The 17394-nt window shown below is 35.9% G+C and overlaps 1 protein-coding gene across 5 annotated transcripts in view, besides 1 other annotated feature; it reads left to right on the top strand.

Annotated features, from left to right (window-relative positions):
- Nucleotides 1–17394, top strand: part of GPM6A (glycoprotein M6A) — a 369457-nt gene that overhangs the window by 168718 nt on the left and 183345 nt on the right. The gene's annotated exons all lie outside the window — the stretch shown is intronic.
- Nucleotides 10328–10377: an enhancer, noted in NCBI's record as "active region_22165". NCBI's record gives its function as "activates an Ori minimal core promoter by ATAC-STARR-seq in GM12878 lymphoblastoid cells {active_cell/tissue: GM12878}" and the evidence as "EXISTENCE:reporter gene assay evidence [ECO:0000049][PMID:35858748]".

The raw sequence follows: 17394 nt of genomic DNA, 5'->3' as shown, positions 1-17394 counted from the left end.
ACTGTTTAAACATTTTGTCCTTTAATTTCCATATTAGTTAAATAGGAAAATAATATATCTTAATTACTCTACTGGGAACAACACGAAGCTGAATTAGACTTCACCAAAAATATTTATTTGTTTTCATGTTTATACCTTGCCTTATTCCAAAGAAGTTACCTGTTATCTAGGAAGATATAAAAGCATGAAGGATTGAAGATTGCTCTATGAACTGGATTACGGATGTGGTAAAGGGATTTAAAAACAAAACATAACAAAACAAACGGACTAGCATTCAGCTGCGTCTCTGCATGCTTCTACAGAGTCCTACAGGTGGTAAGGAGGAGGAGCTGGGACAAAGGGTCCACCTTGTTTCACATTCTATAATTTTTGCTATGGAAATCTGCCTTTGTCACTGATTTCTGTTTTTCATCATTCTGTCTTCTTTCTTTAGCCCGCCCACCCCCAGGAGTCTTTATCCATACTAATAATTTTCACCAGAATTTCTTACTGATGATATTTTTGCTTTTTGTTAAGAGCCTCTCCAGAGAAGACATTTATCATGCCCTACTCAGCTCCTCCCATATTCTGAGAAAGCAATCTTACCTTTTGGGGGAAATACTCCTTACACTCACTCCTTCCCTCGATGGAAATGCTTCTTCTTTCTGGTGTTGCTTTGAGGTACGAAGCTAGCTGCTGTTGGCAATTGTATTTCCTGCTTAGTGGGAAAGTCTGAAATGGAGATGATGGCTTCGCAGTGCAGAAATAGTAGAGGCTGGAAACCATCCTTATTGTCTTTGGGAACCGGCATTCTTGTGATCCAGATGTTCCCCTGTCCTGACATGTCCACTTTGTGGATGTGCACCATGAAACTCCCCATTTGATTTTAGGTGGTTGTAGCTGGTTTTCTTTCTCTTGCATTAAAAGAGCCTTCAATAATATAACAGATCAATATAATACTTGTATGTGAGTAGAATAGAAATCTTGCATGGTTTGGGGGAATTAGAAAATAGAGATCAAGACATAAAACATTCTACTATTTGTCAAGTATGTGAAAATTTTCTAGGACAATAAAATAATACCCAAGTTAATGCTTCCTTCCTGTTGGTCCAGCTATCACTAATTCCTTCTGCCAGATTCTAAACAGACTTTAAGCTCCTGTGGGTAGATAACGTTTACTTCATTTCTATGTTTTTAGTACCTACCACAATTTATGATGCATAATAAAAACTATATCAGGAACTTTGAATATAAATAAATATAACATATTGTCTTAAAAGAAAAATCCTTAAAATAGCAAGTATTTCACATAACATTATATTCTACATTATTTTGCTTTATCCTCCTTGTCTTTATAAAGAAAAAAATACTACTTTCTTGTTTAGCTGAGGTTGAGGTTTAAATCTCAAACACTTTTGAAAAATCAAGATTAGAAAATAATTTTGGAGTCACCTGGCTGAAGAATAATAGTTTGTTATTTGTTTGTTTGTTTGTTACTAAATGAGTTCCTGAATTCTTTGAGAAAGGAAATAGGAAAGTTAGAGAGCCAGAATTTTAAGAACCAAAGAGCCAGGGAGTTGGCAATCCGAGGAAAGATCAAGGGGGCTCTGATCTAGATAAGGGAGTATCAGGGAAGGTACTTCCAGCATTAAGAAGTCAAGTAGAATTAAGATGGTTAGGCCAGGCACGGTGGCTCACGCCTGTCAGCCCAGCACTTTGGCAAGCCGAGGAGGGTGGATCACCTGAGGTCAAGAGTTCAAGACCAACCTGGTCAACGTGGTGAAATCCCGTCTCTACTAAAAATACAAAAATTAGCCGGGTGTGGTGGCACGTGTCTGCAGTCCCAGCTACTCGGGAGGCTGAGGCAGGAGAATCACTTGAACCCAGGAGGAGGAGCTTGCAGAGCCAAGAGCTAAGATAGCGCACTCCAGCCTGGGCGACAAAAGTGAACCTCCGTCAAAAAAAAAAAAAAAAAAAAAAAGAGATGGCTAAATGGGCCTTAACAAGTTCTATTTGTGACCTTTGAGAAAACAATATTGGGGAAATGAACTGAAGGGAAATCAAATTGCAGGGGACTCCCTAGGAGGTGGAGAAGGGTGGGAGTAGCCTGTCAATGAATCTAATTAAGCACGGATTTGTTTTGCAAAACAGAAAAAGATGTTACTTTCTTGACATGGGGCCCATCAATGGAGTATTTTAAATTTCATGCTAGGAAATTTGTGTTTGAAGAATTGGGAGATTGGTCTGTTCAAAATAAATTACTGTCTATAGTCAGGCATAAAGTAATTTAGACTTTGAAAATGTAAGCTTAGTGTTTTGAGCTTTTATTTAAGAAAATGTACCGAAGAAGTCAATGTTACAATAAGCAGAGCACAGCCATTCAAAGGTACTTTCAATTTTGACTAATAATTCTACCTTTCCCTTTCTTGGTGTCTTCAGGCTAAAGTATATAATCTATTAGATTCAAATTCTTTTTTTTCTATCCAGTGAGTTTAATTTATCCAGAGTGTGGCTCTGCAGGGATTTGCAGTAATTAAATAAAGGGCATTTCTACCACTCCATGTGTTTTGATAAAACTCTGGCTTTAATTTCTAGTTGACAATAAAAGGACAAGTAGAAATAGATGCTAATAATAGACATTAGTCCCAATGAAAAGGAATTGTATTTTTTTAAAATAGACAAATAAATGAGATAAAGGAGTCAAATAAACTCAGCAATTTAGATTTCTTTTCCAGTTTAGGGGATAAATAAAAATTGTCCAATTAAATCAAAGTTGTTCCACTTCCTTTTTTTTTCCCCAACCCAGTTAGTATAGGGGTATATATGGAGATACAGGCAAAAGTGAGTCAGGATATATAAACGAACAAATCAATATGAAAAAAAAAACAGAAATAATGGAGATTCTACCAATGACCCTGAACAAACACATTGAGTGAAATCAGTAAGTACAGAATGGCGGCATGCATACGTGACATATATAGTAAGAACCTTCTATTTTATTTATACACTCTTTATTCAAAATGGATGAAAGATATGGACGCTGAAGAAACCTACTTGCTTTGAATCTCAACTCTGCCATTTATTGCCACTTATGAGTGATATGATCTTGGTAAATCACTTAAATCCTTTATGCCTTAGTTTTTATATGAAAACAATGGGCGTAATATTAGTGACCACCTAATAGAGGTATGGTGAAGATTAAATGGGATGATATATGTGTGAAGAACAGTGTCCGGTGCATAAAAAGGGCTTATATAAGCATTAGCTACTATTATTACATCATCATTATTTTATATACACTTTGGCCTACATAGTTATAACATATAAAGTTGTGAATAGCATTCGTGTATTTATGTGTCTAAAAAATGTGATGTAGCAAACGTGCCCAAGTTTAATGCAATCAGACTGTGGCATTTAACACAACCTCACTGAGTGATGCTCAATAAAAATAAAAAACAAAGTGATTTTCATCACTGCTAGCTCATGGGCCCCAAACTCACATGACCAGCTCAACCATCACCACCCAACGATAGATCTTTGTTGATTCTCATGCCCCCACCTCTCCATATTCATGTGCATTTTCCTCCCTTCTGTCTCATTCTCTCTCTCTCCTTTCTCTGGTCCTCTGTTCCCTGCCTCAAATCAGTGGCAGTGGATCTATTAAACTCAGAGGATGGATGTCCACTTCATGCAGAGCCAACTACTATGCCTAGACACTGGGCTTAGTTTGACCTCTTTTGCCCAGATTACGGCAATTATAAGAAATTGATCTTATAGTATCCAAATCTGAGATTAATATGTATTACATAAAACTATTTGTGGCAGATTTTGCATTAGGTTTTCTAGTAACCTGCATTTAGTTTTATGGTCACAAAATGTCATGTCCTCCATTTAGTTTTATAGTAACTTCCCAGATTCTCCAAGAAAAATGAGTAAGATATATATATCTATATATATATCTTATATATTTCCTATATATACATATATATGTAATATATATACATATATGTAATATATATATGTTTTATATGTATATATATATATATATTACATAAATGACTTATTTTGGTAGTTTTTCTGAAATAAGGTTATTGAAGTGTCCACATGCAAAACCTGGAAACTGCTAAAAACCCCCAGCGGACAGCTCTCCAAGTAAAATAGTGAGAAAAACACGTTTTCACTTGGCATCCAACTATACCACTGACTTCACTGTTTAACTGACTTTAATATTTTATTTAACTTAAGTAGGTTACAATTTCCCCAACACAGTGTCTTTAACAAATTATTGTTGGTATTAAAATAGAGAGTTGTATTTTTTAATCATATAATTTAATCTAAAAGGATATTACTAAATAATCTTTCAACTTGAAACTTTCCCCCTGTCTTGATATGATTATGGTTATAACTAAACTATATCGAGTCCATTTTCTATTTATTTTAGATGTACAAAAAGTTTAACATTCTTGGCCAGGCCCAGTGGCTCATGCCTGGTGGCTCCCAGCACTTTGGAAGGCCAAGGCAGGTGGGTTGCTTGAGCTCAGGATTTCGAGACCAGCCTGGGCAACATGGCAAAACCCAGTCTACAAAAAATACAAAAAATTAGCCAGACATGCTGCACGCTGGCACATGCTTGTAGTTCCAGCTACTTGGGAGGCTGAGGTGGGAAGATTGATTTAGCTGGGGAGGTGGAGGTTGCAGTGAGCCAAGACGGTGCCACTGCACTCCAGCCTGGACAACTGAAATCAAACCCTGTCTCAAAACAAAACAAAACAAAAAGATTAACACTATTTATAATTTTAAAATTTGAAATGTTTGTAATGCCAATATAAATTTACAGTCTTTCTATTTATGTAAATATATTTTATATCATTAAAAGATAAAGTTTATTGTAATTAAAATTTACTTTGCAAATGTGAATTTCTAAATCATTTTGATAATTCATAAGATCTATGGGTTCTATAAGTCTACTTATAATTACTGCCTTTGTTATTATTATTTTGCTTATTGTATTTCAAATGTTCATCCACAGATTCGAATTTAGAAATCTGTTAGGGCCACAGAAGTAAAAAGATTTTAAGCAATTAAGCTAATTTTATTAACCTAATTAAAAACTCTTTGCATTAGGGGATTAAAGAGCATTTGTAATATGAATACTCTTACAAACATAAATATTTTGTTTGTAAACAGCAGAATCACTCTGTAAAGAATAACAATTGTCTTCAAACAACACAGCAAGATTGTCATCTTCTTAGTTTTTTTCTATTTCAGGAACAATTAAAATACAATTTAAAAATGAGGCCATGGAACCATCCAAAGTTCAAGCACATAACAAATTCAAAATATGCCCCCTGCTAAATTTTTGACACAATTAACAATTTGAAAAACTCACGTGCTTTCAAATATTTCCATGTGGTTTCTTAGCAGGCTGTATCTTGCCTTCTACCCTGACTAATAACTGTTACAAGACAATTCTACTTGGTGATAAAATTTGTTTTGGCAGACCTGTGGCATGAGCAAGTATAGAACTGACCTAGGAATTGCCAAGCCAGATCAGTCCACTAGTTTTTCAAATTGCATATACTGACCTCTGAGAAATCAGTATATGAATATACAATGTTTTAGGGAAAAAGACCTATTTATAAATACTCAGGATAACATTATTTTCACAAAAGCACATTGCTTCATCACTCAGAACAATATACAGTTGATTTAAAACCTGATATTTCATGATCTGAGGCCTTTCTCTTAGCTTTTCCTAGTTTATGGGAGAATAAATTATTTGAACTGACACCACATTTGAGGCCAGAGGAAGAAGCAGACTAATGTTTACTGAGTGCCAACCATGTCTGTGCCAAAATTTGTGCGGAATGCATTTGATCCTCACTAAATCCCTGATGAATAGGTATTCTTTTCCTCATTTACGAATGGGAAACAGAACCTTAAAGAGGTCATGGAGGATGAACAGGGCTGGCTGAGCTGCCATTTGAAACTCTGATTGCTCCTTACAGAACATCATGCGGACCAAACCAACAGAGCCTAGAGAATGGCCCGAAGGCTTGTGCGCAATGAGAAATAATCCAGCTATTTGTTCTCTAAGCCTGTTGAATAAATAGCTAATTGGTTTGCACCCTTTCCAGCCTGCTTCATAGAAGCAGTGTTATGATGAAGAGCGCAGGTTTAAGAACCAGACCTTCTGGGTTCTAGTCCCAGCTCTGCCGTTTACTAGCTGTTACCTGGAACAAGTCACTTGTTCTGTTTCTGTGTTTCTTTAGCTGCGAAGTGGGGATAATAATACTATGTACCTCACAGGGTTATTTTGAAGATTAATGAATTAAAGTGAGGACATAAATGCTAAGACCTGCGGTTGGCATATATAAGCTCTAACTAAACGTTTTGTATTATTACATGAGTTATATCGGGTGGTCTTACTGAGCTACTAAATATAGTTGACATTTTTTTCTACAGCATACATGCTTCACTGTTTCCTGTTTAAAATGGATATAATTACATCATTTTTGTATAGCATTTTATATTATTCAAAGAAATTTTTCATCTTCTGTCATTAGAGAATCTATTTTTCTGAAGCCCCATTTTCCTCGTCTGTAAAATAGCTTTAATTAATGATACTTACTTCATGGGCATCTTGGAGGGATAAAATGAGATCTTGTACCTAAAACATTTAGTGCAGTGACTTCACCTTGTGAAGTCAGTGAGACAAGTGTTAAATTCATTCTGTATTTGAGGAAGTAGATAAAAAACATCTTCGCCTGAAGTCGTGTAATGAGTTAGTGGTACATCTTCACACAGAGTGGAGTAAACCGACAGATTACTTGTTAATAAAGAAATAAATCAACATTAGGACTCTTTTTTTTTTCCTAAAAGGCTAGTGATCTCTCCATTTTCTTTTGCTGCCTGACTTGGTATACATGGGCATGCTGGTTGTAACATGAGTTTATTAATAAAAAACTCAGGAAGCTCTCTTTTCTGAGCCATGAGAAACTTGTTTTTGTTGACTTACAAAAGGTGTTTTAAATTTCACTGCACAAATTGCATGTCTCTGTATTCACTTCTTTGTGAACCACTCAGAGAAGGCTGATTATTAGCACCCTCTTCTACCACCCCAGTTTTCCGTTCCATCTTTCATTTTATGCATAGCAATATTTACCTCCTTTAGTGAACGGAATCAAAAGTCAACCTAATGTCGAAACTACTATATTAACAACTCAGAAATATGCAATGACCACATAATAGTATTACATTTAAAAAGCAGTGTTTTATAATGGAAAGTGTGATAGCTTTGGAGTCACACAGACTTGTGTCTCAATCTTGTCCCTAATTCACGATACACACACACACACACACGTGTACGCCACTGAGCAGGGGAGGAGGGGGAGAGAGAGAGAGAGAGAGAAAGAGAGATTAATTTCTGCATTAGGTAATATGTTAAGGTCTTTCAAGCCTTATGGTACGGATCAGTGGCCAATGGTTTTTGAGACTGAATGATAAGAGACAGTTTTTTTGTTTGTTTGTTTGTTTTGAGACAGTGTCTCCCTTTGGTACCCAGGCTGGAATGCATTGACATGAACATGGCTCACTACAGCCTGGAACTCAGCTCATCCTCCTGCCTCAGTCCCCCAAGTAACTGGGACCAGAGGCTCACTCCACCATGCCCTCTAATTTTTTGAGATGGGGTTTTGCTATGTTGTCCAGGCTGGTCTTGAACTCCTGGGCTCAAGCAATCTGCCCTCCTCGGACTCCCAAAATTCTGAGATTACAGTTGTGAGCCACCGCACCCAGCCAAGACTTTTTTTTTTAACTAAAAGTTTGCGAATCTCTTCAACTTGACTTGAAAATGTTCAACTTGAAAATGTTGTGTTGTACCACATAAAAATAATTACAAAAGATCCCATCTGGACAAAAAGCACATTCAAGACCACTGCTGATTGCTCAAGCTCATTGTCTTCTTTCCTTTCTAACGAACAATAAAATTCTATTAATGACCATTTCATAGTAGAGATTTTGACATATTTTTATTATTTTGGCTATGGGTGATGTTAAAGATTGCCATCATCTTTAGGTTGACAACACAAGCTAACAGAGCCTCTAAAACACTCTTCACTGCCTCATTCTGATATATTTTCATCATTGCCCATGTAAGAACCTGACATTAGCTCCTTAATGTATTTGTTTATTTGGCCTCTTACATTCCTCTTCTGAAATCTAAAGACCATGGGAGCGAGGACCCAGTATATGTGTTCATGGACTTGCCCTATAAATTAGATTTACCTCTGGGCAATGGTAAGCACTCAATATATAATCAATGAATTAATGACTGAAAGACTAGCCTTGGGCTGGATTTCTTTGGGCATATTGCATTTCCTCTTAAATCAATTATTATATAGTCTGATACTACTCCCATGAAATATACTTTTGCTGTTAAGATTACTGCACCCCAAGGTAACCTAGTACAATTATCTGTAAAACCTTGGCTTGTGTGACTTTAACATTCACTCTGTTTTTTAAGGATAATGGTTTTTAAATTTTAAATTGATTTTAAATTTACAATTCAATTTATATTCAAGATTCTTTATGGGCTACAAGAGATATACAAGAAGAGATGCCTCAAAAAGTATCTAGAAATTTATACTGGCATCCTACCCATTTAGCTACAAGCGTTAAGACTTAAATAAAGACATCTTTTGAAGATATATTTACATCACTTTTGCAGGAATTGATTAGTCAACATCTGTTTACTTTTTGTTTACTGAGTCATTTAATGTATTGGAAACAGTGAACTTTTGAGAGACTTTTATATTCAAATTTTGCTTCCTCGTAGTTGTAGAACTTGTGAAAATCATTTGCTTGTCTAAATTTCAGACTTATACCCTGTAAAATAGAAATACCACTTACTCTCAGGGTTGTAAATAATAAGAAAAAAATATGTGCCTAGCATACAGTGGATACCACACAAATATTTGTTAAATATTACTGAATAAGAAGAGCTGAACCTAGTCCCTGGAAAGCTGGGCACCTCGCAATAGGTTCAACGTCAGTCTCACTTTATGAATGGTAAGGGAGAAACAAGTGTAGCTCGTGGTTTCTGACCACAATGACAGGCAGGGGAAATGGATATCAGACATACTGAAATATTAAAAATAAAAAATGTATGATATCTGGCAAATATGAGCTACAGACAAATGATATTGAAATTCAGGAAGTCAGAGAGAGGAAATAAATCACATCTACCTTAATATTTGCAATAGTAAATGCCGAAAACAGCTTTGCATTTTGTCCAGGACAATGGCAGCGGGTTGCTTACTGCTTACTTGAGCACATCGCTGAAAACCGTGAAGAACACTTGTAAGTGGATGGGGTGTGTGTCTGCCGCACAAGCAGAGTGGAGTCAAGTGGTGTCTGCAGGTTCATTCGAAAATAACAGTGTGCACATTGCAGCAGAGGAACGTCTAGAATGTAAATTACTTGAGTGTATCAATCTTCCTGGAGCCATGGTCTGGCCAAATATCTATCCAAAGAGACCATATGTCAGGGCCAATAAAACATCCTTGAGAAAATGTTTTCCGGGTGTTTCTGGAACACCCAGGATGTGGGCCTATTTGTTTTCTCCTTAATGGAGAGTAGATCACAATCTAAGGCCTCTTGCTCAGAACTGACAAACTCTCTAAAGATTTCAGATGCCTAACTCACAAAAAAAGGAACAATGTGTAAAATCATACCTTTCTCTCAGAAGTAAGAAAGGAAGGGCCTTTCACCTTGATTGCCCATTGGGAGAAGTCCAGGCTCCCAGCCTTTTTAGTCATTAGTTCAGATGTGTTGGGCAAGGCACTTTAAAGAATGAGAAAAGTTGTCAGTCTGAGTTTTCTTTTTTGAGATAAGAATTTTTAGGTTACCTAAAGTGATCTCTGGAAATGTAAGAGTACACTTTAATGTATTTTTTTCATCCACAGAGGACTTGCAATTTAACGTATAAGCAAAAATACCAAAACGCTTATGATAAAGCTGAGAAAACTTGAGTCTTGTTTTTCCTCATCAGTCCTCTATGCACCATATAGTGTAATCAGCTTTTTCAGAGGATATCTCCTACCATCTGCATCTGCAGTGAGATTCAAAGCAACAATTTAAAATCACTGTTTCAAAATTCAGGACTTATGGCAAGCCACTAGTTTTGCATAAAGTTGTATTTACACCCCTCCCCCTTGTCTGTCTTTTTCTTTCTCTCTTGCACTTATCTATTTATTTTTGCAAGACTGTCATTTGCAATATCCAATATGTAAGGTTAGGCTTAACTGACGTATCTTATTGTTAAATATTGGTTCAAGTGAATGGAGCCAAAAAAAATCATCCACTTTTCAGATAAGTTATAACCTATGTTCATTGTTGTTAATATAGCACTAAGCCTTTACTCAAAACTGAAGAAAAGCTAACATGTGTTGGCTAACAACTGTGTTAATCAAGTATTGAATGACTTATCTTTTGAGTGATATAAGTTTAGTATTAGGGAAACCAAAATTCAAATCTCAGTTCCTCATTCACCAGCTGCGTAGCCTTGAGAAAGTTGCTTAACCTTTGAAAGCCTCAATTTTCTCACATGAAAGAAAGCTATCTTGCAGAGGTGTTACGAATGTTAGAAAAAAAATTATAAAAATCGCCAGCCCAATGTCTATAACATTTTAGCTGCAGTTAGTGGTAACCAACTTATTATTGTCAGTTTTGTAAAATTATTAAGTTTTCTGATAATTAAAATAATATTGTACCTATATAAAAAGTATCAAAAAGCATGTAAAGAGATGAGAACACATGGACACAGGGAGGGGAACATCACACACCGGGGCCTGCCAGAGGCTGGGGGCAAGGGGAGGGAGAACACTAGGACAAATACCTAATGCATGCAGGTCTTAAAGCCTAGATGACGAGTTGATAGGTGCAGCATATCACCATGGCACATGTATACCTATGTAACAAACCTGCAGTTCTGCACATGTATCCCAGAACTTAAAGTACAATGTTTTCAAAAAACAAAAAAAAAAGCATGAAAAGAATTAAATAAATTATCTCAAATACCACTTTCTAGAAATAAGCACTCTTAACATTTTCCAATAGATCTGTATAGGTTTGTTTCAATGCATATGTTTATGAACATTTTAAAATACAAAAGGATACTATTTATACTGTTGTTATATACTTCTATCACTTTATTGTGAACAGCTTTTCATTGTTAATACAGACAACTTATGTAATCATTAACTGCTATACAGTATTCCCATTTTTGGATATACCAAAAATTTTAATAAACGATTCTCCTAAAGTGGACAGCTTTTTAAAAAGGCATTATGTATGTTTAGAGAAAAATAGATAGAAAAGGATAAGATTTCCAATTAAAAGAAGTTTTCAAAATATTAAATTGAAATTAAAGCAATTACATATCATGACCAATTCTCTGTTTGGGAATGCAAACAGAGTTTAACATCAGAAAATCTACAAATGCAATTCTTACTTTAATATATAAATGGATGCAATTTGTATAATCATCTTACTTGATGGAGAATAAAACATTTTTTCTGATTCAATACTTTATAATAAATGAACCTCAGAAATGTGTACTAGAAGGGAACTTATTTAAACAGATAAAAAATGTCTATGCAAACCTACTACAAATAACACATAATAATGAAACCATAGAATCATTTCTTTTAAAATCACTGCTCAATTCAACACTGTGTTGGGGACCCTAGAATGCACAGTAAAACAGAGGAAATAAATTAAAATATATAGATTGGACAGTTAGACTCATATTTGTTTTAATTCAAATATGTGAATTTCTACATAGAAATTTCAAGACCTATGCATTATTAGAACTATAGGAGAGTTTAGCAAATTTGCTTCTTATAGGACTGATTTTTAAAATCCAATAATGTGTTCCTTTGCTTCAGTCAAAAAAAGTCTTGAGAGATTTAGTATAAAATACCTCTAAAAGAAATCAAAATACTTAGGAATAAAAACAAAAAAAAATATGCAAAGCTCCTAGGGAGAACATTTTAAAACATTCTTAAAATATATGAAAAAAAGTTCTCAACATATGGAAAGAGATCTCATGTTCATGGAAAGAGATTCAATTTTGTAAAAATGTTAATTATGTCTCATTAATCTATGAAGTTAATTTAAGTTCAATAAATATAAGTTCACCTCCCCCTCATTATATTTGAAAGCTGATTCTAAAATATATATAGATGACCAAAAACCAAGATTAACTAAGGCACTGTAAAAATATATATGTTAGACATTTAATTGCTATGGAATTAGTATTCAGAACTTACAAATAACATCTATAGAATAATACCAAAAAGCAAACAATACTGTGGGCAAATGAGTGAAGGGCATGAATATACATTTCTCAAAAGAGGAAAATCATTGGCTAATTGCAAGAAAATGTTCTCAACTTTATGAGATACTTAAGGAAATCATATTAAGATATATAATTAATACTCATGTAAATTAAAAGATTTATCTTTGGTAACATTTAAAAATTACTAAGTATAGAAGACGTAGAACAGTAGGATTCTCAGATAGTTCTTAGGGAAATTTAAATTGGCACAAGCACTTTGAAGGGCTTTTTAACACACATATTATTGAAGACATACATAATCTCCTACCCAATGATTCCACACATACATACACCTCAGACTTGTAGGGAAAATTTTAAATGTATGCACTAAACATATATAAAAATATTCATTGTAATTTTTTACAGTTGTTTAGAAATTAGAAACAATATTAAATGTTTATCAACAGATCCGCATATACATTAAAAGATTGAGGAAGAAGTTGCGAAAAGAGACATATAAGAAGATATTCTTGATATCTAATCAAAACCTACAAAACAGGCCGGGTGTGGTGGCTCATGCCTGTAATCCCAGCACTTTGGGAGGCTGAGGTAGGTGGATCACTTGAGGTCAGAAGTTTGAGACCAGCCGGCCAACATGGTGAAACCCTGTCACTACTGAAAATATAAAAATTAGCTGGGCGTGGTGGCGCATGCCTGTAATCCCAGTACTTGGGAGGCTGAGGCAGGAGAATCACTTGAACCCGGGAAGGGGAGGTTGCAGTGAGCAGAGATTGCACCACTGCACTCCAGCCTGGGCAACAGAGCAAGACTCCATCTCAAAAAAAAAAAAAAAAAAGAAAGAAAAGAAAAAAGAAAACCTACAAAACAATACTAACTATGGTGTGTATATATATCTGTATACACACAGACACACATATGCATGCACACACATATTAAATAATAAGGACAACATACAGGAATAAAAACTCTCCAGTCCTGAGTGATTATTAACAGGAGGTAGGGCTGAAGAAGATATAAGGAAAGGAATGCAGTTAGAGAACACGTATAATCGACTTTATACTTTATTTTCTATGTTGGGTGGTAGTACAAGTGTTTATTATTTTGGTCTCAAGAGCTAATTTAAAAAAAGAAAATAAGAAGGAATAATAACTGTGCATAAAGTCCTAATGGCTAAATTGTGGCACTGAATAGAGTTTGAAGATCAGAGATACGTCCACTGAGTAAAAGTCTCCATATTTCTGCTAAACCGCTTAGATGATAATTGCATTTGTTGACGAAAGCTATCAAGCATATTAGAAATCTTAAAGAACGTTCTCTACTTCAACTCCCTATAGTAGTTTTACTCTGAAATCACACTTTTGTTGATTTATTGCTGTTTAAACTGAGTATTAATATTTTTAACTTCAATCGTAAGTTCTTTGAGTATGAGAATCATTTCTTCAACTTTTTTGTGTGTCTCTCACAGCATCTGGCAACATGTTGGGCATATGGGAAGCAGTTAAATGTTTTTGTTTTTGGATGAATACAAATATTCATGTTGTGAGAAGACTTTACAATCAGGGCCTTTTCCTACATTAAATGCCTTTGGGTCTACTACTTACATAAGTGTAGGCGGATATCCAGGTGGTTCAAAGAATGGGCTTTGGGGTCAGAATGCCTATGTTTAAATCCCATCTTCCCCACCCTGTTACTTGCTACAAAGAATTTAATCTTTTTGTTTCGATTTCCTCCTCTATCAAAATGGGGACAATAGTAATTACCTGACAGGGCTGTTGTGGTGAAGGTTAAATGGGATATACACTTTTTAGAAACTTAGAACAATGCCTCACACATGTGAAGTGCTGAGTATAATTGTCATTAATATTAATATAATTGCACCTATCATACTTTGTTCCAATTGTTTGTCTCTCTCTTCCATCTTTGCTATTAGCTCTGTTAGAGCAGGAAACTACATCTGTCCTGTTCACCTGGCTCAGCTTCAGATACCTAGTAGTCATTGAGTAAATGCAACTTGAGTGACAGAGTGAGCTATAAAGTTTATTCTTTGGTGAGCTCAATTTAAAGTAGAATTTTTGTGACCACAGAGAATCAGCTTGGGCCAATTTTTGTGATCTCTTTCTCAATTAGTAGTAGTGTTTGGATTTTGAGTAAACAGAGGCCACTGCTGCTTACCCATTGCATAGTTTTTAACCCCTCATGCTTTCTGCCATGTTTTATGGGAAACATAATTACCAGAAAGAGATTTGGATTACTCTTGCTTTCTGGCATTTTGGAGAAAACAAAACTATTTAGAAGTTTTAAAATTTGGATCACCTTTATGGTTATAGGAATGCATAAGTACTTAGAACTGATCTTTCTATAAAAGGGTAAGTTTGGCCCAAAGAGTGTCACCCTTGAATTTTTCTGTCTCCCCTTACTGTAATCAGCATTTATGACAATACAGCTTTCCCTTCCTAGAGGAAAGATGAAACACAATTAATATTTCCCAGCTCCCTTTTTGTTTTGCTGGTTGCTCTTTGAAATATCTCATTATCGTTTTGCCTTCAACTGCTGGGGAATGACATTTGTTACATATGAACATGATATGTATCTCCCCAAGTTATTGTAAATTATGTTCACCCTCTAAAATATTTTGTGGAAGCAGATAAACATAAGATAAGGTATGTGTAAGCCACTGAGTTTGTTCATTCATTTATTTGTACATCATTATTCGTTTATTCAGTCATTCATGCATGCATGCATGCATTCAACAAGTATCTATTGAAAGCTTACCATGTGCTTGTCTTGTGTGAGGGGGAAAGATAGAGGCCATTATCTCATGGAGCTTATAGGCCGCAGGCCAGGGGGGAAGATACATATATATAGAACTGACTCTCTCTCTATATATATATTGCAGACTATATCTATATGTATATTGCAGACTTTGAGGAATAGCTCTGTAATGGCATGTGATATGAATACTAAAAGAGGCCTATGCTCTTGAAAAAGTTTTGCCTGAGGATAACACTTTCCAGCTGAGATCTGAGTAGATCTAGCTATCTGAGGGTGGAAGGAAAAGTGTTTTAGGAAGAAGAAACAACATTCACAAATGGACAATTTTAAGAAATTAGAAGGAGATGAATGAATGAACAGCAGGGGGACGTTATGCCGAAGAGGTGAGCTCCTGCCAGGTCATGTCCAATCTTTCCAGCCAGTTCTATCCTAAGAACACTGGAAAAGCATTCACCAGTTGTAAACAGGCCTATGACATACTCATGACTACAGCCCTGGTAATTATGTGAAAATACAATATTAATAGATTGGAGAGGAAAGGTCTTGGTAAGAAAGAGCCTAAGATACCCGAAAGGTAATTTCTTGGGGGTAAATATTAACGGGTTTGCCATTGTCTACCTTTAGGCTCCAAACTTATGGAGTACAAGCTAGGTCTTAGGAGCGTCTTCTTCTTCAGTACTCTAAAAAAGCTAAGGAGCAAGACTCAGAATTGGATATTCCAGCACGAGACTACTGAATACCTTGGGGGGTACAATGTCTAATAAATAGTAAAAGAGAGTTTCTGCCCATGCAGCCAGATGTTAGTCTATTACATGTTCTCAGCAGAGTATGTCTCCCCCTCCATAGGCCTTCATGTATTCTCTTTCAACTGTTCAGAATATCTTTTCTTTCTCCCCAACAATCTGCCTCCCCCTTTTTTCCCATCTAATTTCATCTCCTTTGGGTGAAAGGTCACCTGCTTTGATCAGGTCAGATCAAACTGTACCTTCTAGGAAACCAGGAAAACTTTTCCAACTATCAAAACTAAATATAGGTTAGATATCCTTGAGGTAGGCTCATGTGCCATCCAATGCATCTTTATTTTTATTTGGTAGCACTTGTCATTCAGCGTTGTGATATTTGGTCTGTCCTACGCTGCTAGGCTATAGGCCTAATTAGGGCAGGAATTTGTCTTCTTAGTATCCCTTTTGCCTACATCAATTTCCTGTAAGAATGCTTAGTAAACACTTTTACAATTCAGAATGAAAGGAAATGGGGTAATGATACTACTGTGAACACCACGATCATTCTGTGAATTGACTGCTTTCTATGATTATGTAACTCTGAAGAATGTTATGGTCATTTTATAATGGACTGAAAACATTGCAGTGTTTGTGGTGGTTTTGACTTTCTTTAAGAAAATGTTGGCCGCGGGGCGGTGGCTCACGCCCGTAATCCCAGCACTTTGGGAGGCCGAGGCGGGCGGATCACGAAGTCAGGAGATCGAGACCATCCTGGCTACCACGGTGAAACCCCATCTCTACTACAAATACAAAAAAAATTAGCCGGGCGTGGTGGCGGGGTGTAGTCCCAGCTCCTCGGGAGGCTGAGGCAGGAGAATGGCGTGAACCCGGGAGGCGGAGCTTGCAGTGAGCCGAGACCGCGCCGCTGCACTCCAGCCTGGGCTTTGAGCGAGACTCCGTCTCAAAAAAAAAATAAAAATAAAAAAAAGAAAAGAAAATGTTATGAAAGTCAGTTTCTGACTTGGAGCTTAAAGCAGCAGACAAAGGGGTCCTTTTTCTCTGTCAAAATATAAGAAGATCCCAACTAAGACATTTCATTCTAGAGATAATGTTAATTCTGTGTCTGAAACATTTGACGTAGAATAAAAGGCAGTTTCTAAACCGTGTTCCTGCCTGTTAGTCCTATGCACTGGGCTAGGTTTTCATGATCTTCTTTTCCACATCTCCTCTCTGTTCTCTGACCCAGGGACTACGAACATTTTTCCCCCTCACTTTTTATAGTTAATGCGATATTTGGAACCACAACTTCTTTAATCTGTTAACTCTCCTTACTTGTCTATATTATGAACATTGTATCACAAAGATGACTGCATTACATAATAGAGGAATATGTCGATATTTACTTATTGTATATAATAATGTGTTTATCCATAAAGACAAGATGAAGTGTTAAAGGAAGCTCCAAATTAAGATTAAGAAAAATGAAAGAGAATTATAATGGTTTTGGATTGAGTGAGCTCACATAAGAAAAAAGTAATATACATTATAAACATTTCTTAG

Source organism: Homo sapiens, chromosome 4 (genome assembly GCF_000001405.40).
Source record: "Homo sapiens chromosome 4, GRCh38.p14 Primary Assembly".
Classification (NCBI taxonomy): Eukaryota; Metazoa; Chordata; class Mammalia; order Primates; family Hominidae; genus Homo; species Homo sapiens.
The sequence above is the reverse complement of the archived record's forward strand: the minus strand, read 5'-3'. Positions and strand labels throughout refer to the sequence as shown.